The sequence below is a fragment of the Homo sapiens genome, chromosome 18, assembly GCF_000001405.40.
Source record: "Homo sapiens chromosome 18, GRCh38.p14 Primary Assembly".
NCBI lineage: Eukaryota > Metazoa > Chordata > Mammalia > Primates > Hominidae > Homo > Homo sapiens.
The window spans coordinates 38,466,028-38,491,136 of NC_000018.10; the positions used below are offsets into that span (position 1 = coordinate 38,466,028).

A 25,109-nucleotide genomic window follows, 5' to 3' on the forward strand; every position below is an offset into this window, starting at 1 on the left:
CTCCCAATTGTAGTATTTATCACTTGATAAGGAAAATAAGGACTTTAATGCCTTTTGTTTATTTTCCAACCACTTATTTTCTGCTTTACCTAAGTACATAGTGTAAGTTTAATATAGGAGAAAATGTGACATTTAGGTAATGGACATAATAAAAATTTTCACGTGACTACCTCATTATTATACCAGCTTCAAACTAAAATTTTCTACACCCAAAAGGGAAAAAATATGTGATTGTAAAGGTTACTATTTCTATTTAAAGTGTGGATGTGTTTAAGCAGCTATAACAGTTTTCTTTAATGTGTTGAGAAGAGGGGTAGCTTGGAGACCTGGAGGCTGTCTCTCAGTTTTATAACTGAGAAGCTGTGTGACATTTGTCAAATCAATTAACCTCTCTGTGTTTGAGAGTTTCTATGTTTTGAAGAGGCTAAAATAATACTTGTTTTCTATAGCTGTCTATACCCACAAATTGAAAGACATGTCTTAGGGGAGGGAAGGCAATTATTTAGATGATTCAGGCCAAAATCAATCCTGCCATGAAAGAGGAGAAAAAAAATGTGCATTTGGGCCTCAGCTGTCCAGATTGCCTGTCGACATCAATCAAATTCACAGAATAAATGGTTCAACCCTTGGCTTCCTTTTGCTTGTGTTACAAGAGGACCTTTGGGGGCATATTAGCTTGCTTGTTAAGACCAATGAGTAAATCACTAATGGCTTCCGGCCACTTTGCATACATCCAAGAATAGTTGAAACTCAAGGAAGCTCTGGATTTCTAGAATGTCAGGGTTTCAAAGGATGTTCTTCTCCCAATGTCACCTTCAAAATTAGCATCAAAAGAGAAGAGGAGAGAAAAAGTAATCCAGCTTTGGTTTTGTGTCCGTGGTCTGCTGGACATTACTCTGGGCACTTCATTCATCTTCTTACTTCAGTTGATACTCACAAACAAAAGTATGAGGTTGGGAGTGACAGAAGAGGAAATTGAGGCTGAAAAAGAGTAAGGATCACACAATCAATAGCTGGCAATCTGGAGCATGGAACCTGATTCCAAGTCCATGAGCTAACCATTGTATTATTCTTGCTCCCAGCTCAGGCCTGGTGTGATTCAATAAAATTCAACAATCATCACTGGGCCCCTGCAATGAACCAGATATGACACCAGGAGCTGAGCACAGTAAGATCAATAAGCATGGTCCTATTATCATGGGCTCTGTCCTGCATAATGTGAGAGTGGCACATAAACCCAACAGTAATGCTGTGTAAGCCACCTGCATGGGTGTGCAAAGGAGGAGCAGAGCTACAGGATCCTAGAAGTCCCTTTAAAAGATATTTTGGGAAGTTTTAAGTAAAAAAAAAATCCCCCCTGGGCCCAGAATCTATTCTTCTCTGTATTTGAGCAAAGGCCAAGGGGAGAAACAAGTCTAGGTGGGTTCACGGTGCAGAGCAGGGTGAACCTGGCATGTAACCATGGATGCTGGGGTTTGAATCCCAGCTGCATCTTTTACCATGTGTTTCATAAGGCACAAGCTGCTTAACTTCTCTGAGCCTCAGAGCCTGTCTTGGTAAAAGGGCTATGAAAATGGCTCCTTCATAAGACTACTGTGACTCAGAAATAATGGAAGGAGAACACCTAGTATAGTGCCAGGCACAGTCAATGATTTTTTAAAATGCTACCATTATTAGTCTAATGTTTTATCTTAAAAAGAAATGTATTTGATTGGAAGCTTAAAAATAGGCCATAAGGTTTATTTGTAGAATAGATATTGAAGAATAGATTCTTTCTGTTAGCATTGTTTTTGAACTAAATCATTCATGAATGAATCAACCAAAATGTATATATTTTAATTAATTATTATAGGTGAGCTACTGTACTTGACACATTGATTATGCATTACCTGCCAACAAGATTCTGACATTCTAAACCATTTCTGGTTTAGCCCTGGTCACTCCTGCCAAAAGTGAACTTATGGTGTTGCCATGTCACCTCAATTGCCTCCTAAACTCTTCCTGACCAAGGGCCCTCCTTTTTGTTATTCCATATTTTCTATGCCTGTAAGTCCCACTCCACATCCCTGGAACATAAAGCAGCCTTAAGAAATAGTGCTCACTAATTGCCTTTTATGAACCGCTGATGTCTGTGATTTTCATCTAAACAAGGCTGCTCCGAGTGCCAAGGAAAAGCAGAGCCTTTTCTTCATAGACCAGTGTCTTCAGGGTGGGAACTGGACCATTTAAAACTCCAGCCAATGACCAAAATCCAGTTAGTGCTTCATATGTTATTAATGGAATGGAACTAATTTTGAGGAAAAGAGGAATAGAATCAGCTCAAACAATCAAGAGTGTATTTGAATGCTCCACAATAGCATTGTATAAACCCTATGAAGATCTACAGAAATAGCCTGAATAGAGAACAGTAGGGATGGTTCTATTCTATACCTTTGCTTTAACGTTCATGCTGGTGATAGAGTGTAGAGGTTGAGAAGATGTACACATTTATCAGATTCTCCTAAGGATTATTAACCAGCTACCAGTAGGTTCAGAGGCAGCGTGTAATTATACCAGCTAACCCAAGTATAGACTGTTGATATGCCCAAAACACTTGGTTTACGTAGCAAACTGACCATTTGGATAACCTGACCCTGAGAGAATCCAGTCAAGGGGAAGCAAGGTTAGAGCTGTCCTGGAAGTTTAGATTAAATGAGTCCTCTGGCACAGAAAAGGGACTGGTTGAGCGTCATAAAGTAAACCAGCACCTAGTCTCAGCCAGGATAAATATAATATTCTGAGTGATCTGTTAAGAGAATGCAAACACGAAGAATTTTACCAAACAATGATAAAACTTGGATGTAAGTGAAGAAATACTGATTGGTGATATAGAGCTAGTCAGGGAGGCAAAAGGGGTTTGAAAAGGTCTCCTCTACAGTCACGTTAAAAACTAAGGTGGTGACAAGGCCCTTAGATTAGAGGCATATTCCCCAGATACCCCAGGATGAGGACGGCAATCAAAGGAGACAGATACTTAACATGCAATATTGCAACCACAAAGAGGCTAATGAGATTCCAGGCTGCTTGTCCACAGGGCTAGCCATCAGTGTCACCAGGCAGGGAGGCTGCTGTCCCTCTTATAACCACTCTTCCGAAACTGCATGTGTGACAGGGCATCTGATTCTCAGTGGCTTAATAATGACACTGTCTACTTAGTCTAGCCGGGCTGCAGCAGGGGGACAGTGTGCTGATAAACTGGCTGGAGGCAGACACCTGTTGGAAGGCTGCAGAGAGTTTGTGCATGGGACAGAAAGCCATGGTCACCAGAGGCACAGTGAGGAGGAAGAGCTGCCCATGCATGGCTCTGCAGCATAAACCTGGGTTCTTGGGTTTGAACTGATGAGGGTGAGGTTGATATCCAAATTGTACCATGAAGATACTGTTCAAGTTTCAGGAAACCTAAAATAAGAGCAAACTATAGGAGATCTTATCCTCCTTCCTTACTGGCAAAGTAAATTTGTTTAGCATTTGGTTTAATATTTTACCAAAAATCAAAAAAGAACAAATTAACAAAACAACAGATGAATAACCACCTGTTTCTATCTAGATGATGATTGGAGTTCAAGACTTGGCAGGACTAAGAGATAGAGTTGATGAGAGGAAAATCAGATTAGGACAGAGACAATGTGAGGCATCACTGTAGCTCTGGGATTATTTGCTATGGCACAGAGCCAAGGCTCCTAATCCTCTGGATTCTCAGTCCCATCATCTGTCCTGTAAGCAACACTCACCTTTATGGGGAAGATCAAATGAAATAGATGTTGAAATTGATTTGAAGCATGGCAAATATTACATACAAATAAGACATCTGTGATTAAAGCATTTTATCCATTGCTTTGCTAATAAGTGTTCAAGGGAAGAAATTAATCAAGAACATTTTTGGGGAGGGGTGTCAGTGATAATAAGTACCCTGTCTTCATAGACATCATGCCAACTCTGTTCTTGAAAGGCTGATTTTAAAACTTCAGTAGCTATTAACAATGTGATTAAAATCCTGAAACTTTGGAAAGAGCTTGTCGATATGGTCCATATTCACTGATTATTTACCAAACCTACTTATCTAACCATCTCCATGGTTAAAGTTTTCTCCTTTAAAACTACCAAGTTCTGTAGGTGACCATTCGTCATGCCCGGGGAGCTCTGAATGAGGCTGCCATATACAGCTGCAGATATTGTGCATTATGTAATTCTGCTGAGGTATTCACATAGAATTCTAGAGTTGTTTAATAAGTTACCCTTATTTGGGGAATAATGCTAGAAGAAATTTTTTTAAAAATTTCTAAAGAATTTTTTAGCCTGTATTTTAGAATTTTTTTTTTTAGCCTGTATTTAACCCAGGTTATGTTAAAATCAGCTTCTTATAGGTCACCATGTTTGGTTTCCTCTACATGCAACAAATGTGCAAAACAAATCTACAAATCTTTTTAGGGTGTTTTGGAAGAGAGCTGCTATTATCTTCCCATGGATGTACTTTCTTTCTGTGCTTGTGTCTCTGACATAGGGTTGAAAAAAGTAACTCTGATGTGTAGAAATTCAAGCATGTGGCAAACAGGCAAGGAGTGACTTTGAGGGGGTGGCTTACATCTATACAAAGACACCTACTTCTCCTTTCTAGAGTTTTAAAATTCCATTTTAAATTTCCAGCCAAAAGAAAAGCTTTCAAGGAAATGGGAGTATTTCATTTTCCTTGATTTGCCTGATTTCTCTTAGCAACTAACAGTTGCTAAGAACTGATGACACTTTTACTATGATGATGTCAAATTGGAGACTGACGATGTGCATTTTGGCATTACATAAATTATTCTTAATAAATTAGGTGCTTCCCAAAAGTACATTATGAAATGTACTTTTTTTTTATTTTTTTTTTGAGACCGAGTCTCACTCTGTCACCCAGGCTGGAGTGCAGTGGCTCGATCTCGGCTCACTGCAAACTCCGCCTCCCAGGTTCACGCCGTTCTCCTACCTCAGCCTCTCGAGTAGCTGGGACTACAGGTGCCCGCCACTATGCCCAGCTAATTTTTTGTATTTTTAGTAGAGGCAGGGTTTCACCGTGTTAGCCAGGATGGTCTCTATCTCCTGACCTCGTGATCCGCCCGCCTCAGCCTTCGAAAGTGCTGGGATTACAGGTGTGAGCCACCACGCCCAGCCTAAATGTACTTTTTACCTTTCAGTATATATACTTAATTGAGTCTTTATTGGAAATTGTTTCTTAGGCTGGAGTTTTCTACCATCCCTGTGACCCCCCCAACTCTCAGTGTCTTCTATCCTTCAGTTAGAAAGGAGATGGCTAAATGCTATCTGATAGTTTCTGTCTGTGCTACCCAAACTTCATGTCTCTGATCATTGCCAGTCATTTATTTGCAGGGAGAAGGCTTAGCCATGTTGTTTTTTAAGCTGAATTGTAGCTTTGAGAAACAATGATGTAAGATTTTATTTTTCTCTACAAAGTGGCATCTCCAGAGACTAGCATTCCCCAGATAGCTTCCAAAAAACATGAGTGTGTTTGATTAGTGTTACTTGAAGTACGAACAACATATTCAGAATTCCTTGGTCATGTATTTTAGCAAATAAGTTTAGTCCCCAAGCATTTCATTTATTTTGCGTGTTACTTGTATTATTTAATTATTGTTATATTTCCTTACTTGTTCCTTTCCCTGTATTTGAAATCATTATTTCCTCCCTAATTTTCAGATCTCATCTGTTCCTCAGCTCTCAAATTACCCTGCTAATTTTAAAATATCTTCCTTTTCACACAGAACTATGAAGTGGCCTATAAAGAAACATTAAGAGTATATTCTCTTTCTCTGTGGGCTACTGAGAATTGGAAATTCTAGAAGCCATGGGATTTTAAAGAGTCTTCTGTTAACTTGAGTTATTTTTATTTTATTCTCTACAGACTTTATTGTGTCAAATGGGAAAAACAACTAGCTTAAATGAATCTCTTGAGACTTTGATTGATTATTGGTAATAATAGCTTATAAAAAGATTACTTTCCATCAGATGCCATTTTGAACAGATTTGTACTTTTTTCTGTGACTGTAATAGCTTGGTAAAAGAGAAGGTCAAACTTAAGAAATATAGAAGCAGCAGCTTAGTCATAACACTGTAGTATTATGGTACTACCATAATGGTAATACCAAAATGGTACTACCATAATGGTAATACCAATATGGTAGTACCATAATGGTAATACCAATATGGTACTACCATAATGGTAATACCAATATGGTACTACCATAATGGTAATACCAATATGGTACTACCATATTACCATACTAGTAATATGGTAGTAAACAAATGTACTTTGCAAACAATTTCTAGAAAACTGATAATTCTGTCTAGAAAGATCAATATTTCACCTATATTTCCTTTTCTGCTTTCATCTTTGAGGTGATTTCCCTTATATTTTGTTCTTTGTTTATTGACTGTACACTTACAATCAGGCTTATTTGAGGACATTGCAGCTGGAACTTATGAATCTTCTTCAGTGTCCATTTTTGTAATCAAGGAAGCAGTCATTCCTCAGTGGGAGCCAATGTGGCAGGTGTAATAGTTATTTCACTCCGTGTGAATATCATGGACTGTTCTTTCCTGCCCAGTGTACTCACAAATCATGTGACTGTGGTCCCTGTGGGTATGAGCCAACCAAGGACAGATGTGTCAGTATATATACCTTTCTTCTACAAGTAAGTTTGATAGAATTGTGGCATCAAAAGAGTCAATTTTACTATAATAAATTATAGTTTAAATTGTTAAAAGTAAGTATGTTTATCTTCCTAACAAATGTTATTAGAAAATCTACTATTTGCCAAGATCAGGGTTCAAGTACCAAGGGAGGAGTTACCAGCTTTGCTTTTCTGCTTTTACAGTGTATTCCTAACAGCTAGGATTCTCTGAAAATAGCTGTTGATACAGTGATAGAAATAATATTACTTTCAAATATTCATCAGCTTTAACTTAGAACCGCAGTGTTCTTGGTCTAGCTTAAATCTCACCTCTACCAATAAGCCTTTCCTGAATGATATGGTTTGGCTGTGTCCCCATCAAAATCTCATTTTGAATTCCCACATGTTGTGGGAGGTAATTGAATCACGGAGGCAAGTCTTTTCTGTGCTGTTCTCATGATAATGAATAAGTCTCATGAGATCTGATGATTATAAAAAGGGGAGTTTCCCTGCACAAGCTCTCTCTTTTGTCTGCTGCCATCCACGTAAGATGTGACTCACTCCTCCTTGCCTTCCACCATGATTGTGAGGCCTCCCCAGCCATGTGGAACTGTAAGTCCATTAAACCTCTTTCTTTTGTAAATTACCCAGTCTTAGGTATGTCTTTATCAGCAGTGTGAAAACAGACTAATATACTGACCAAACCTTTTAAGCAATTTTTCAAAGAGGATGAGATGGTTTTTATTTGGGCAGCATCTCCTGGCTAGAAGGAGAATTTTTCACAGTTATCATAAGTGCTCATTGTCAATTTATTATCTCTACTTTTCAAATACAAAAAGAAAGTCAGGCTCCAAAAGGCTAAGTAGCTGATTCCTCTACATGCAGCTAGTTAGTTACCCAAAGTTAGAAAACCAATCCCTGAGCTGCAAACTCCATGCCCTTTCTACCGTATCAAGTCACCTCTCAAGGCCCTCCCCTTAACCTGACCTAATCTGAGGCACTTGAGGGCAGTGATGTGTTTTTTCCTCTCACAAGAGGACTCCCGTGTTTGGAGAACCTTAGAGTAGTTGCTACCTTCCCACTTCTAGTGCAATCTGAATATAAAATGATACCATGAGGCCCAAGGAAGGGCAGAAGGACTGAGAATGTGGGTGTCTCTGCACAATAGATGTATGAAAACAAGTGTCTCCACAGACTTACCTGCATTTTCACTTAGCTCTTGGTCAGTTTCTTCAAATCTAGCTTTCTCTCTGGATATCTTTTACACAGAATGAAATATGAATGAACATATATGTGTGTATATACACACACATACGTATTCTTAGAATATGAATATATATGTGGGTGTGTATATACATGTGATATACATACATCCATCTTCTGGAATTCTTCTGGTTTACTCAAATACTCATAACCTTCATTAACTAAAATCCCTCCTCTGAGAAATTACTTCTCAGAAATGTGACGTATCTGTTCCTTTCTCAGACTTCCATTTAACTTTTAAGCATTCATTTTCACTAATTATTTAACACCCAGATTGTGCCATCTTTAATATCAGGGATTATGTATATTACTTCTATATTTATATAATTACAATTTGCATTCAAGTATTTTTGATGCTTTGATTATATCTCACATAAATTCCCCTTTTGTATAATTCTGTGAAACCTAACGCTGAATATTTGTTTTTAAAGAAATTTCTGTTCAATCTATAAACTATGTTCTGAATATGTGTTTTCTTGTTTGTAAAGCCTACTGAGTCCCACTGGGTGAGTCATAAGGACTGTGCACACTGATTTGTTTGCCAACATGTCTAGAGTCAGATATTAATCCATTGATTCCACAGATTCATGTGGAGCTCCAAGTTTGTCAAGACCCCTGTGCTGGGCCCTGCTGTTATGAAAGATTCAATCCTGACCAAAGATAAAAACTCACTTATAAATACCTGGGACAGGCTTTGCCCAAATGATGTACAATTTTTCTCACAGAAATTTCCACCTGCACATGAAATCTTTGTATATACAAAGACTGGCGAATGTAGTATTTAAATGGCCATATCCATTTCTATTTCTTTTCTTTTCTTAAACGTATACTTTAAAAGTAACTTAAAGTATGCTGAAATAATGATGAAATCAAGGGCAAAAACATATAATTTTTTTTCATTTTAAAAGCACCGGGTGTCCTCTGCTCTCCTCTATCAACCCACTTTCATTCCAAACAACATAGTCGGATTGTCTTTAAATATAAATGCTCTCATCCCTAAGGAACAGAGAACCAGAGAAAGGCAGCAGAAGGGAACGTGTGCCGAGAAAGGCATTGGTGCCCTAAGGGACAATTTTCATCTCAGGAGAACTGACCTTTCAGAGAAAGCAAATTAAATTATCTTTCTCATCCTTTACTTTTGCTGTGACATCATTAAAATGCACGTTACATACCAACACTCATTGTTTTGTATTCATAACCTTAAACTAAAATTAATCAGTTGTCACAGGGACTTAACACATTTGTTAATGGTGCCTAGCCAAAAATCTGTATTGTCACAAGAAAAGCAGCTTTATGTGTACACCCTTGAGAAAACAACAGAGGAGAATTAACTGGTGGACACTGAACATCCCTGTCTCTTGTTCAGAAAATAAGAGTCCTCATTCTCTTCTCCGGTTATTGAATTAGTGCTCCTGCTTTGATGTTTGACATGAAGTTTAGTACCTTGAGAGCAAGAAATGTTTTTATCTAAGTCTGATTAATGTAGACTAGGTCCTACAAAGTTTAATAAATAGATGAATTTAGCTAGTAAGTATTTATTAAGCTCCAATATGGAGCCCAGAGCCTTATCATGGATTCATTCTTCATCATGTATTTATTGAGAATTTAAACTGGTGAAGATGTATTTATGAGTAACCCCAAGTCATTGCTTTTGAAAAGCTCATAGTCTTGACAGGCAAAATATGAGTAAATAGTTAACCTATGGCATGATGTCTTAAGTGCTCTAAAGGAAAAGAAAAGCACACTCTCATAGGAGGCGGCCTTGGAAACAAAGGAAGGACCTCTCAAGGGGGTCATCTAAGCTGGATCCTACATAGCATGAGTGGGAGCTGGTCTGAGGAAGATGATGTGCTATGCCATGCTGGGCAGAGGAGATAGCACGAGGAGGACCAGAGAGGTGTGCTGTGGTCAGATAGCATTCTGGGGACAATTTAAACCACTAGAGAGTGCTAGGGAAGAGTGTGACCTGATCTGATTTGCATTTTAGAATGCTGTCTGGCATCTATGAGATATTTATTAAAGGACAGCAACCTCAAAGGAAGAAAGACTAAAATAGTTCACTTTTCTTAGTGTGTCAAATCAAAGACAGTAGCAATGTGGCCTGTATGGAGGTAGAGAAGATGGAGGTAGGAAGAAGATGTTTAAATTAGTATACCTCAATATATACAGTATATTAAGGAGGAAGAAGATTCAAAGTGGTTGGATGAATGATGAGATAGGAAAGGAGCTCAGGTATGAGAAAGATGTACCACCCACCCTCCAGTACTTTATATTCTGTTCAAAAAAATACAAGTTGGAAATGTATGCCTTAGTATATTTAAGCAATTTATTGTTGTATAAGTAGCTGAACTTTGTAATTTGCTAAATATTGTGCAATGTCACTTATTAGCCATGTGGCTGGCAATAGTTATTTTCTATATTATGACCACTAATGTATAGAAAATACATGGCACTGAGAGATGATCTAAAAATACTAGTAAATATTGCTGTAAAATGAATAGTACAAAATTAGAAACATAATACTAATTATATGTTAAACAGTTAAAGCAAAATGGTTAATGTATTTAAAGGCAATTTTTTCTTTTATATGCCTCTGAGAAAAAGAATGATTCTGTTGGTGTAATTAGGAAAGTGAGCAGACATGTATATGCTTCAGAATATCTCTGGGAAATAGATTACTCACCTCCCTAGGTCAATATTTGATCCCTATTAGTCAATAAGTTCTTTTTTTCTTAATGTCAACAAGAAAAATATTTTACTAACTCATAATGTTCATGATAGGATGTTAATTTTAAAAAGCAGTACAGTTTTGTATTTTTAGCTTCTGGCAACAGGCACAAAGAATACCCTGTATTTAGCTACATCTGTAATCATGTGTCAATAAAGAATATTATATACTTTTTTCTGAAGATAGATATGAAGAGACAAAAAGATGAAAAATATCAAAATGTTAACTGTGGTTAACTGTAGGTGAAACTGCAAGTCAGTTTTAATTTTTTATACATATGACATATTTTTTATTTTTAAATATTTAAAGATTGTGTATATTCAAGGTGTACAATATAATTTTATATAAGTATACATTGTGTAATGATTACCATAATCAAGTTAATTAGCACACCTTTTACTTCAGAGTTGCCGTGTGTGTGTGTGTGTGTGTGTGTGTGTGTGTTGAGGGAATTTAAAATCACTATGTATTACACTAGTGTAATACATAGATATTACACTACTACACATAGATATTACACTAAGTATCACATTATGTAGAAATTTCATGTATATAATACATTTCTATCAACTATAGTCACCATGTTGTACATTAGAACCCCAGAACTTATTCATAACATAACCTGAAGTTTTAACCCTTTGACCAACATCTCCCTATATCTCCCACCGCCAGCCCCTGATAACCTCTGTTCTATTCTCTGCTATCAGTTTGACATTTTTTAGACTACACATATGATCATACAGTGTTTGTTTTTCTGTGGCTGCCTTATTTAATTTAGTATACCGTCCCCCCTAGTATATCCATATTGTCACAAATGGCAAGATTTCCTTCTTCTATAATATTTCATTGTTTTATACACACAGACGTATATACTTATATATATATCACATTTTCGTTATTCATCTGTCAATGAACATGTAGATTGTTTCCATATCTTGGCCATTGTGAGTAATACTACAGTGAACATGGGGACATAGACATCTCTTCAAGATACTGGTTTCATTTCCTTTGGATATATACCCAGGAGTGGGATTGCTAGATTTTATGGTGGTAGATTTTTTTTTGAGGACCCCCATACTGTTTTTAATAATAGCTGTACCAATTTCTATTTCCTCCAACAATGAACCAGGGTTCTCTTTTCTCCACACTTTTACCAACTTAACAGGCATCTTGTCTTTTGATAATAGCTATCCTAACATGTATTAATATACTCTGTTTTCTCTTCAGATTGCATAAGTCTTTTACCTTTTACTAAGAGGTATAGATGGTGGTTCATTGTGGTTTTAATTTGCATTTCTCTGATGATTAGTGATGTTGAACAACTTTTCATATACCTGTTGCCAGTTATATGTCTTCTGTGAAAAAATGTTTATTTGGGTCTTTTGCCCCATTTTTAAATCAGGTTGTTTTTTGCTAAGTAGTGTGAGTTCCTTTTGTATTTTAGATATTAACCTCATACCAGATTAATGATTTGCAAATATTTTCTCCAATTCTTTAGGTTGCCTTTTAACTCTTCTGATTATTTCCTATGCTATGCAGAAGCTTTTTGGTTTCAGGTAACAGTTCTTGTTGGTTTTATGCTTTTGGTGTCACATCCAAAAAGTAATTGCCAAGACCAGTGTAAAAAACCTTTTTCCCTGTTTTCTTCCAGGAGTTTTAGATCTTACATAGTTTTTAATTCATGTAAGTTAATTTTTGTATATGGTACAGGATAAGAGCCCAGTTTCTTTTGGCAGGTGTCTGGATATCCAGTTTTTCCAACATCATTTATTAAAGAGACTTTCCTTTCTCCCTCATATATTCTTGGTACCCTTGTTAAAGATTAGTTGACCATATATGCATGGGTTTATTGCTAGGCTCTCTATTCTGTTTCATTGGTTTATGTTTCCATTTTTATGCTAGTATCATACTGCTTTATTATAGCTTCGTATTATAGTTTGAAATCATGGCGTGTGATGCCTCCAGGTTTAATCTTCTCAAATTGCTTTGGATATTTGTTTTCTATGCGAATCTTAGATTTTTTTTTTCCCATTTTAGTTAAAAATGTCATTGGAATTTTGATAGCAATTGCCACAAATCTGTAGATCACTTGGGATAGCGTGGGCATTTTGAAAGTTCTAGTTATTTCAATCCATGAACATGACACATCTTTCAATTCATTTATATCTTCTACAGTTTATTTCATCAGTGTCTTGTGCTTTACCGATCCTTCACCTACTTGGCTAAATCTATTCCTAAATATTTTATTATTGTTGATGCTATTATAAATGAAATTTTAATTTTTATTCCAATAGTTCATTGTTAGTGTACAAAGGCCAATGAAAAGCTGAAAACGTTTCCTCTAAGATCAGAAATAAGACATGGATGTCTACTCTTGCCATTTCTGTTTAACACAGTACTGAAAGTTTTAGCCTAAGCAATTAGGTAAGAAAAAGAAATAAAGAGCCTCCAAAAATCAGAAAGGAAGAAGTTAAAATATCTTTTTCCAGATGACATTTTATATATTAAATTCCTAAAGACTCCACCAAAAAATTATTACAACTAACAAATGGACCTAGTAAAGTTACAGTATACAAAATGATCCTTACAAAAATTAGTTGTTTTTCCATTTACTAACAGTAAATTATTTCTTATATCTGACCATAGACCCTCCAGCTTATGTGAACCCTTTTGCTTTTACTATATCTGCTCAGATTTCTTCTTGTTCTGCTAAATGTAGTTACTCTCTTTGTAGGGAGTTTTATCAGTAAAATTTTATATAGTATTGTGTTGAGAATACGGTTATTTTCTTTGTTTTTCATAACTCTGAAGAACATGCTAGCATATTTCATTGATACTTGCATATGTTTTCTAAATATACCTCAGCTAGTAACTGCTATGTACTTGGGAGAAGGGAAAGCAACTTATCTTTACTATTTTTTTCTGAAGTTCTAATTTTTATTTTTTTCTCAGAGAAATAGGTATGAATTTTATTTCATGCAACATATTACTCAAGTCAATGTGAGCATCTCTAGTGAAGTCACTGCATATCCTTGGTACACAGAAATCCTTGACCCCATGTTCTAGATGAAAACCTGGGGAAAAAGGAAGAACCTAGACTGCCTACATCACATAGCTCTTAGATACCCATATTTACTTGATCAAATAATCAGAACATACCTGACCTAGGCAAATTGTTAATCTGTGTGTGTGTTTTTTTTTAATTCTTATGCTTCCAGCCTCTTCTTTCAAGGGTGACCTTCAGCCAGTCCATGTTTTCCTATATTTTCCTATTCTCTCATGAAACTTACTCCCAGAAAGGGAGCTTGTCTAACCTAGGTATGTATTTCAGATTATGTAGTACAACTGCCTGGGGGATTTCATTTTAAACCTTTTTCATGTTTGTAAAATGGAAGATGTTCCCTATAAAGAAAGGCAGGCACCAGCTAACAGGCAGTGGGGGAATAGTAGAGACCTTTAAATCCGTCCAAAACGGCACAGTCTATTCTGCTTCTATCTAAAGCAACTATACATCTAAATAATGACTCAGTTCTTCCCTCCAGCTGTTAATGTTGGTGACCCACAGAGTCAGAATTTAGAATCCAGTGCAAACTCTGAGGCTACATCCCTCATGGTAGACAATGAGAACATAATGTCTGAGCTATGTGACAAAGCCTGGACTCAGAACCTGGATTTTGGCTCACTGATTGCAGAGGTACCTTTGGTGATCTACCCTGAGCCTCCGTTGCTTCCTCTTTCTTCAGTATCACTCCTAAGTGTAAGGAGTGTAGTTCCTATTTCACAGGTTTCCCATAAGGATCAAATGAGCATATGTGGGTTCCCAGCCTGCCATAATGCCCAGATTGCAGGGGATTATTAAGTATCCTTTCTGTTCTGCTTCTTTCTAAGTCAAAACTTCTAAGCTTTGTCTCTGTTTTCATTTAGCTCATGTCCAGGGTCTCAGTCTCTGAAGCAAGAAACAAGACTCCAGGAGGGTGGGATGTTTAAAAACAAAACAAAACAAAACAAAACAAAACAAAACAAAACAAACTATCATGGGCAGCTGCAATTTATAATGACTACAATATGTTATAGCCTTTCTAGTTATCTGTAATTTATACAGCTGTGATCAGCTCCTGGCTTGCCCAAAGGAAACACACTGATTCAGATACAGATACCTTTATTTTTGAAGTATCCCACGTATGTATTTCCTATTCACATCGGTGTCTTTCCAAATCTATGACCTTCAATTTCATCTGGTCTACCGGCATGGCTCTAGCCAGAGCAGCACGTGCACAGACCAATCTTCGGTCTAGATTGCACATGATGGAGTGATGAACTGTGATGTAACCCATCTATGAATCTTTCTACCTTTTCACACACAGGTATATATAATATTAACATGGCTCTACAAATATCATCCCAGAAAGGCTAGCACAAAATCAAAATTGGGGGTCTAGTAATTGCATTCACTCAGAAATAAGAACCACCAGTTATCGTAATGCTAAGTAACAGATAAGGACTTTCTTTCTAGGCCAGAAGACTCCTTGAGATGGCTTATGATAAAATAACATCAACACTAACTTCTGTTCCATGCATTATAACTATAAAATGAAATGGAAAGAAGAAAGCCATCATGAGGCTTTCATTTCAGTTATGTAGATGTGGGGATATTTTTGGTCCAGGATTCACAGATAGAAAGGATTTACAAGTTAATAAAATGCCTGAATTATCAAATGCAAAGTGCACATGTTTCAAAGGTGAAAAATAATGAAAAGTCCTTCTCACCCATTAGTTCTCGGTCTGTGGGGCTCACTGTGTGTGTGTGTGTGTGTGTGTGTGTGTGTGTGTGTGTGTGTATGCTGCATGCACAAGCATGTGCTTCGGGAACCCAGAGTGGCCAGCTTTTCGCAACCACCATCCTGTAAACATTTGCTTTTCTAAGTCTACCCCACCTCACTGGAATATAATCATTTAAATTATTCAGCATCTAAAAACACTATAATGCACGTGGGCCCAGTTGGCGGTTATTTTATGCCTATTAGGCCCTGCAGCCCACAATAAAGAAGGAGGGAGCTGGGCTTCTGCCAGCATCACAATGACACATTGTTCACACATCAAAAGCCATACAACAGAGACAGTTGATATTTAACGGGTTCCTGTTTGCATGATGCCACTTTGGTGGTTCATCTCTGAGGTTTCCTTTGAAGGAAGAGGGAATCAAATGTGTGGAAATGTTGATAGTGAATTTCACCCTTCCCTCTCAAGAGAGCTAAAGGGTATGATTTCCAAAATGTGCCCATCTGAAATTTAGATAATGTTTGACTCTTCCTACCCTTCTTGGAGCAGTTTAGCAATGAGACCTCTGTTCAGAGATAGGGGAATATTCACAAAGCTTTATTTCTTGGAAAGGACTCTGAGTACTACTCAGTCTGAGCATGCTTATGTTTAATACCTTTTTATGGAAGCAAATTTGCTTTGGGTAATAACAGAATATAGTTCTGTTATGTGGTTTGCTATCTTTCCCTCAACCAAGGACAGATTTTCAAAATCTCACTGAGAAAAATAAAGCTTGTAAGGAGTTAGGGGAGGAATGTGTAATCGAGGTTTCTCTGAATTTCTCCTTGGGTAAAACCAGGCATACTTGAATGCCATTAGAATTTATAACCTTGGGTATGAGATACATTAAGGTCCAGTGTGCATGTGTGTGTCCATAGTACGGATACAGTGAATGTTTGAGTATTTACTATCAAGTAGTCATTGATGCACTGCAGTTTATAGAGTAAAATTCATCATTCATACAAGTAATATATTTGTCCAAATTGGACAAAGTACAGAGAAGAGTCACAAAAATGATTGAGGAGATGGAGGCCTTAACATACGAGGTGAGATTAAGAGAATGTAGTGTGTGGAGCTTCGTGAAGCTGCTGCTAAGGAGATACGGTATCACTGCCTATGCCTCAGGGCATAGCAGTAAACCCCCAAAGGGGAATTTGCAGGGAAGTAAAAGGGGCATTACAGAGAAGAAATGAGCAGAGAGGGGTTGTCTGCCTATCAGGGAAAAAAGTTTGTTGGAGTGGAAGCTATTAGGCAGCAGAATTACATCCCCAGGGAGACAGCAATGTCTGTGACCCCATTACAGAGGACATAAAGGCTGGCCAGGTGATCCAACTCCCCAGTATACTATAAGGAGGGCCTTCTGGGCTCCTTGGAGACCGGGAATGGATGGAGGGTGAAGTGAGACTCTTTCACATCTTACCATGTATGATTCCACTTTGGTTCTGAGATGAATGCTGAAGGCACAATTCCCCAGCTACCTGGATCTGATGCCAAAGTTAGATTTTATAATTCTCGGATACATACTTAGGGATTATCAGCAAACTCTTTTCCCAAACCTTTGATATATTTAAATGAAATAAAACCCCTAGGTGGCTTTGAAAACAGCATCTTTGGCGCACGCTTTTATCTGGAGACATTTCCCCAAATATTTTTTAAAATGTGCATGCATGTACTGTGGGGAGACGGGGAGAAAATGAACCTCATTGAACTGCAATTCATCACAAAGTTAACTGTTTTTATACAGCCTACGTTCTGTGTGTGCATGCCAAATCTGCAGCCATGCTAATGGAATATTAATATATTCTTACTAGGAGGACAGATCGAGGTTTAAAAGGAAACAAAAATAAAATATAATACAATATAAAGGGAAGAATAAATGAAAGAAATAGGAGCCAGTTGGATTTCGGGGTCTCAGCCACAACCCCCTGGGGGAAGGACTGGGGAAAGAGAGGCAGTGCTTTCTCTTTATCTTGCAAGCAATTACTGGCGATTTGTTCTGGCCAGTAAAACTTCTGATATTATCATGGTTGCTGAGTAATTTATCATCAAAGTTTAATGTGAAAACAGGTGACTGTGTAATCACCAATCTAGGAACAGAAATAGAATCGTTATTATTTCTGCCTGAAGAGAGAGATTTTTTTTTTCTGTCAATTGACTTAACGGCCAAAAGGCTGTTCATCATATCACCATGAATTATAAAACCTCTATTAAATATTCATAAAAGTTTTGAAATGAATGTGTGATAGAGATGAAAGCTGGGCTAATTTAAATACCTACCAGACCTGTCTTAATTACAGAGGTAAAATGAGATATAAAAATTATAGCAGCAAGGAAAAAAAAACTTGAAACAGTTCATTCCATACATTACAGAAAATGCCTTTGCGAGCCACCATACACAAAGCCAGAGCTCTGATTTCCATCTGCCTTAAAGCAGTGCTGAAATGGAGTTGGCTATGTCTTTCTTCTACAGGAAGTAAAAGGGAGGCATCCTTGGGACTTCAGGCCAAATACTTTTTGCTGTGTCTCCAAAATGTAAAAAAAAAAAAAAAAAAACAAAAAACTCAACTGTAGAAGCACATCCATATGCACCTTCTGAAATTCAAATCCTCAGAAAAAAAATCAAGTGGGGCTGAATGGAATTCAGGATGTGACCAAAAGGGATTCAATGAAAATTTCTTCTAATTTTTCATACTATGATTCGTGTGGATTTCACATGGGTTTATAAAAATGGCACATGGACATTTTGTTTATGTATGGGATAATTTTAAGCTTGGACTATCATAACCTCTTCTGCCATCTTAAGAGAAACATTCTCTAGAGGTAATAGAATAATCCTAGGATAATTTATCTGAAGCCAAGGTATACTCATGTTCCCAACCTCAAATATAATTTGCTAAGCAAAAGCCTTTCCTGTTCCTCCCCAAGTCAGGCTAATAGGAATGCAGTTAGAACACTGACCTTCTATCTTCAGGCAAATATCAAATCTGACATTAAAGGCAATAGTATTTTTAAATTGATCATTTGGACATAATTGGCGTGTGTCTCAAGGTGATCCTGTGTTCTTAAATACGTGTTTTAACTGACCACAGATGTGTTGATGGGCATAAAGAGGAAAAAAGAAAAGGATACTTTAGGGATTCAGGTCTGTGTGATGTCATGATAGATTCTCCAGCTAGAAGTCAGGTGCCCACTAGCTTGACCTTGAGCAAGGTTCTTCACCTTGCCGAGTCCCAGTGCCAACATCTGGAAAATGAGGGGATTAATTTGGTGGTGGCTAAAGATCCATCCAACTCTAAAATTCTGCAATTATAAATAGAATGATAAGATGCTCTCTGGCTCTTAGGCCACCACCCAGGAGAATGAATTCCAGTTTTAATTTCCTTTTTGGTGATAGAAAATCTGAAGACAGGCAAGGTTAAATGACCCACCCGAAGGCCCAGAGCAATCAGCGATGGAATCACAGGCTCAGCTCACAGCCCTGGCTCTTTGCTTCCAGTTTTATCAAGTTATTGAGGCCAAATCTTTCAGGCTGTTTGTTAACATCTTATTGGCTTATTCCTATTGACACCCTGAATGATATCACTGATTCAGTGGAAATGTTCCTATTTTTCACAATATTTCGTATGTAGGTATTGCCTCAATAAAATTTTAGGCTCTTTAGTGTACATGTAAGATACATATGTAGCATTGTGCTTGTTTAATGTTATTTAATGCCATCCGACTGCAACAAGTAATTTGGAAAAATTTATATTAAAAAATAGAAATAATATCAGTAAAATTCAAGGAGGAAAATTTGGGCTGGGAAGTCACTGAGAAGCATATCAAAAATCAATAGAAAGTGAGAATATATATTTCTCTTTTCCTTAATCCCCTATTCCTTCCTTCCTCTCTTCTTCACTTCTATATATTCATTTAGTTTAATCTTTTTTTTTTCAATCCTTATTTTCTTTTTCTCATTGGTCTGGCAGTAGCCTTACTGAGCACTGTTTAAGCACCTCTAATTATTTCTTTTAACCAATTCAGATGGTGGGCACTTCTCAGAGCCCTCCTGTGACACACGCTATCTCTGGTAGTGCTCCAGTATGCTAAGGGCTAGCATCCTATCGCAGAGCTGCCAAAAAGTCACATAATAGTGACTGCCAACTTATAATAGCTAATATCTAAGATGATGATATTCTTCCTGAGGTTAGTCCTGAGTGAGAGCCACATTATTTTGTAGAAATTGACCAGCTGCAGATTGAGACTTGTGTCCTAGGCTAGAGTGCTGTAAGGAGATGGGAAAGAATAACCAATGGGTAGAAACAGGAAAAGGAGATCAAGTATGTCACAAAGACACAGTCAGATGAATTGTATGATGACAATGATTGCAAGTATGTATGGTGGATGTAGAACGTGAATGCAGCAGTGCCATTCAATTTTCCAGTCTTGCATGTGGTTGTTCTACATGCAGTCTCATAGTTGTTGGAAGTTTTGATTCAATTTTTGTTTGAGAGGAATCTTTATTTTACATATACTGAAGTTGGTTAGGTTCCAGAACCTAGCCCAATGGCTTTAGTACAGATGTCGCTTGATATATGTCCTTTGATAGGTATCTTGTAGGTTACTTATCGCTGTATAAGGAACTAAAATTTAGCAGCCTAAAACAACCACCATTTCTTTATTTCTTATTATGTTGTTGGTTGCCTGGACTCACCTAAACAGCTCCTCTGCTTCCCACAGTATCACTGGATTTGCAGTCATAAGGGGCTCAACTGTACTTGGTCTTCCAAGACGGTTCACTAGATTATGCGTGATGAATGACTGGATCTTGCTGTCAGCTATCAGCAAATGGTGCTGGTGGTCTGGTCAAACAGAAAACTGTGCTTCTCCTCCATGTAAACTTTCCATGGAGTTTTGGCATCTCACAGCATGGCAGTGGGTTATCAAGAGCATTAAAGAGAAAGCTCCTATTCTTTCTTAGGCTTAAGCCTAAAACTGGCAGAATACAACTTCTACCACACTCTTTTGGTTAAATCAAGTTAAAAACTGAGCCCAGATTCAAGCAGGGGAACCAAAAGGGTGTGAGGCATAATTCATTTGGGTACACCAACATAATAACCAACTAAGGTAGGTAATACGAAAGATAAGTATAAGCATATAGTCACAGTAGGAAGCATTTAAATACAATTGTAGAACCATACACACTGATATCTCTATGAAGGGATCCTGCAAATAGCCCAGACTCACAGTACAGAGGATACTTTTCTTCTACTTAATAGCGCATTGGCTAAAAGTATAATTTTCCTAAAAGCAGATCAACCTGGCACATTCTCAACTGGCCTTGCTGACAAATAACTGATGTTAAAGGCAAAGAAGTGTCTGGGTGTACTATTTTCTGTGAATGTATTTCAGATCAATGAGAACTAACCCCTTATGAAAAATGTTGGAATCCAAAGAATTTTTGCATGTAAAGATCTTCAATTAAACTAGTTAAAACTAATATTGATGTTTTAAAATAACCAAAGGTTTTTAAATTAATGAAACAAAGGATGAAACTAGTAGGGAGAAAGGGCTGAACTTAATTTCAGAGAATGCTTCCTAAAAATTAGATTGGTCTCCAGTGGAATGTGTGGTTGGTTTTGGTAGTGTGCCTACCAGCACTGGAATATTTAAATCTCATTAGGCTAGTAATCATTTCCGAGATATTGTCAAATTTATTTGTTTTCTAAATAAAATTAGCAAGGGTTTGGATAGCCTGAGCTCAGATATAAAATTGTTGAGGGAATCTTAATCAGAAGCCAAACCAAAATACTACCATATTTATTTTTTCTGGTTATGGATAAAAAGGGATAAGAATTACCAATGGTATGAAACAAACATTTAGTACTCTTGTGATTTAAAAAAAAAACAAAAACTGGAAAACTGGAAGAGAATAAAAGGGACCAAAAAAAAAAAAAAAAAGCTCTGGAAACATTTTGGCTCTGTGCATATCATACACATTCTTCCAAATAAAAGTACTATCTACATAATAAAAACATAACTTAATGCAAAGAATCCACATTCCTGACAAGTAGCTTGATATGTTGGCTGTAAGAAACCAGCATGAGTGAGCTATCACCTAAATTTCCCTAACAAATTGGCAAGTCCTTTCTCTTTTAAACTTTTCTCTGAAGTAGGCTCCCTGACAGGCGTGGGGAGATGTCTTGGGCTCCACCATCCCAAGCATAGGACAGGAACTGGAGAACTCACCATTCAGCCATGCATTTGCAGGCAGGAAGCCCGCCAGAGTGCATGTTCCTTTCTACATCACACCAGAACAAGTAAGATTCCACCCTCCAGGACATTTTGTATTTATCTCAAATAGCTTCTAATTGGTGGCCCATTTATACTGTTTTTTTGTTTGTTTTTGTTTGTGGAGATGGAAAAGTCCAGTTAATGATCTTTTTGTAATAGTTCTTCCTGCGCTTAAAGACACAGGCTATGTCTACACATATAATTTGGTTTAGAAAATTATAGTTGAGTTGAGAAATATATTAGCAACAGGTTACTATTTTTTTTAATTGGTGACTTTGTCTTTTTGCAAAATTTAACTCTTGAGAAAGCAATTTTTGTTCATATAACTTGTTATTTAAATGACATCCTCTGAATGTCTATATAAAATTATTCAGTGTTAGTCTGTCATGTCTGACTCAAACCTTTATTTTATGCACAAATTTCTATAACATGTACAAGCAGCAGGTTGCCCTTTCTCTGTAAAAAGCAATTCTAGTATCTACTTTGAAACAGTAGCTGGGGTCATTTTCTTGTAGAAATGATGAGCTGAAGCCTCAAAAGTGCAGGGTGTCAGAATTGATGACCACTCATTTGAGCTACCTACTCCCTCTTTGGAGATCTTTTATCAGCACCCCTGAGGGTAGGCAGCCCAGCCTCTGCTCACCCACCATTCCCACAGAGGGAGAGATAGATGTTGAGGGAACTCGATGTGAACCCACACTATGCTATGCGCTTGGATACAACCATGTTTAAGCTGTACAACCACCATATTCATATGCCATGCACAAGGTGAGAAAACTGAGAAGAGACTTGAGAACTTACACTGACTTGTCCAAGATCACACAGGCCCTAAAGAAGATCATCTTTCTTGGACCCTTTTGACTATAAGGTTTGTTCTAACACTGAGCCCAAATTACTCTCATGAATTTTTTTCTATTCTTCCTAATTCTACCACTTAGGGACATAACGTTTCATTTTCTCATCCTTATGCCTCCAATTCACCATCTATCTTTATCTTATAATTTTGCCTCTTATTTTGTAAAGAAATTAGAAAAATGACAGAGAAGAACTTCTTCAGCTACCAAAGGCCAAAGCTCCCACCTAAGTGCAATTGAACCCACACTGAGAGGTGATCCCTCCAGTCCATGGCCTAAATCTACATATTGCCTCACTTTTCTGCTCGCCTTCAAGTAAAACTATTCAGCTTCGTCTATGTTCATTGTACCGGATTCCTCATTTCTCAATTTATCTTTAATCTATTCCAATTGAACTCAAGTCTTTTACTTTATTCTGTCAACTACTCAATGTCAACAACATACTCTATTTTGCCAAATTCAATAAATGCCATATTTCTGTCCTTATTCAAAACATTAGCGTACTTTTACATGGTTAAGCACGCCTTCCTTCTCGAAATGTTTTCTTTCTCTTGACCTTAGTAACATCATAGTCTCCTGGACATTTTCATACCTCACTAGCAACCACTGCTGCTCTCATTCACTGGTTCTTCCTGTATTACCTGACCTGTAAATATTGGAGTGCTTCAGGAATCAATCCCAGGCCAAGTTCTGTTTTGAAAACTTTTTTTCTAATAATGCATGAAGCTAGTTTTTAAAAAATCCCTCAGGTTGTGCTATAAAATGTATCTAAAACTGACATTTCTTCTCTCTTGCCTCTTCAGCTCCCTACTTCGCTAGAGGCAACTAATTTCAACTCCTAACAGTTTATTCTGGTAATTTCTTCCATATTTTGTTAACACTCACTTTAAAACTTTTTGATTTACCAGTTTTATATAGTATTTTTCTCCATAGAAGATAAGTATTTCACCTTCTTACTCAATATCCCTATTCACCTTTTCCTATCCTTCTCAAAAGATATATATCAAAAATTTTAGTTGACTTTATTTTTGTCATTTAATCAATTATTATTAAATAGGGTTGCACCAAGTTGCATATCAGTATTCTGTTTTGTTTTTGTACTGTGTCAGTCCTCTGAGCCCAAGCCTGCACGTATACATCCAGATGGCCTGAAGTAACTGAAGAATCACAAAAGAAGTGAAAATGGCCGGTTCTACCTTAACTGATGATATTATCTTGTGAAATTCCTTCTCGTGGCTCAGGAGCTCCCCCACTGAGTGCCTTGTCACCCTAACCCCTGCCTGCCCTTTGACTGTAATTTTCCACTACCTACCCAGATCCTATAAAACGGCCCCACCCCTATCTCCCTTCGCTGACTCTCTTTTCGGACTCAGCCCGCCTGCACCCAGGTAATTTAAAAGCTTTATTGCTCACATAAAGCCTGTTTGGTGGTCTCTTCACACGGATGCAGGTGACATACTATTGTTTGTTATGGTGCCATTCACTCCTCATTTTTCTTTTTCATTGTTAGTTTTCCATGTTCCTGTCATTAATATTTTCTTCCAAAGTCTTCAACATGATTATTAAATACATCTTTATATTTTTCTCTTGGAGAAATGTAGTTACACTTGCAGCCTTTCTCTTCACAGTTGCTGGTAGCTGCACCAGTAGGATCAGTTCATTATGACACCATAGTATCAGTTCATTATGATACTATGTACCCTTCACAATGGCAGTCATTTTCTGGAGCCCACTAATGAGAATTTAGATGAGACAAATATATTTGTTATAAATAAATCTTAACTGAAAAGGTGTATACAGAATGGATTGCTGGGTCTATATATCATAACAGTCTAAGACAAACTATCAATATTTTCCTTCTAGGTAACACAAGAAAGTGACACTACCCCTGTTTGGATAACTACATTTTTGCAGTTTATTCTGTAACAAGCTCAAGATTTCAAAAGTGACTTTTGTGTTGTAGTAATGATGTAATGTTGTTGGACAAGGTGAGGAACACTGGCAATGTGAGGTTACTGCAAGGGTAGGTAGGGGAAGGGTGCATGGCTTCGACTGTCTCAATATTCAGTTTAATGTATAAAATCAGGCTGTTTGAATAAAGAAAGAAAAACAAATACATGGATAGTTGTCTAAGTAGAAGGTTAATAATTTGTCTAAGTTGAACCATGGTGTCTCCCTGGGGAAGTAACAATGACATCACTGTATAGAGAAGAAGCAGGTTTATTCTTGCTTATTTTGTTGGAGAAAAAAAACAATAATGGGATGGACTACCACCGCCCTTCCTCCTGCCCCTGTTCCACCAGCACCATCCTTGCCACTGACCCAGAGTGAACCACTAGCTTTGTTTAGTTGTGTTATAAAGGGGACAAGGAAAGTTAGATGGTATTTCACAGAAGCTCACTGATGTCTTTATAATGTGTTAATTTCTTCTGAATGTTTTCAATGTGTACATATAAACCTAGCCTTTCT

At 37.3% G+C, this 25,109-nt stretch overlaps 1 long non-coding RNA gene across 1 annotated transcript; it reads right to left on the minus strand.

Annotated features, from left to right (window-relative positions):
• Positions 1–615: 615 nt before the first annotated feature.
• On the minus strand, positions 616–24,257 carry LOC105372074 (uncharacterized). The gene is made up of 3 exons (XR_935392.1): positions 24,054–24,257; positions 6,477–6,667; positions 616–981 (listed from the first exon to the last, which is right to left on the minus strand). It is a non-coding gene; the product is annotated as an uncharacterized LOC105372074 (long non-coding RNA).
• Between the last annotated feature and the right edge of the window lie 852 nt (positions 24,258–25,109).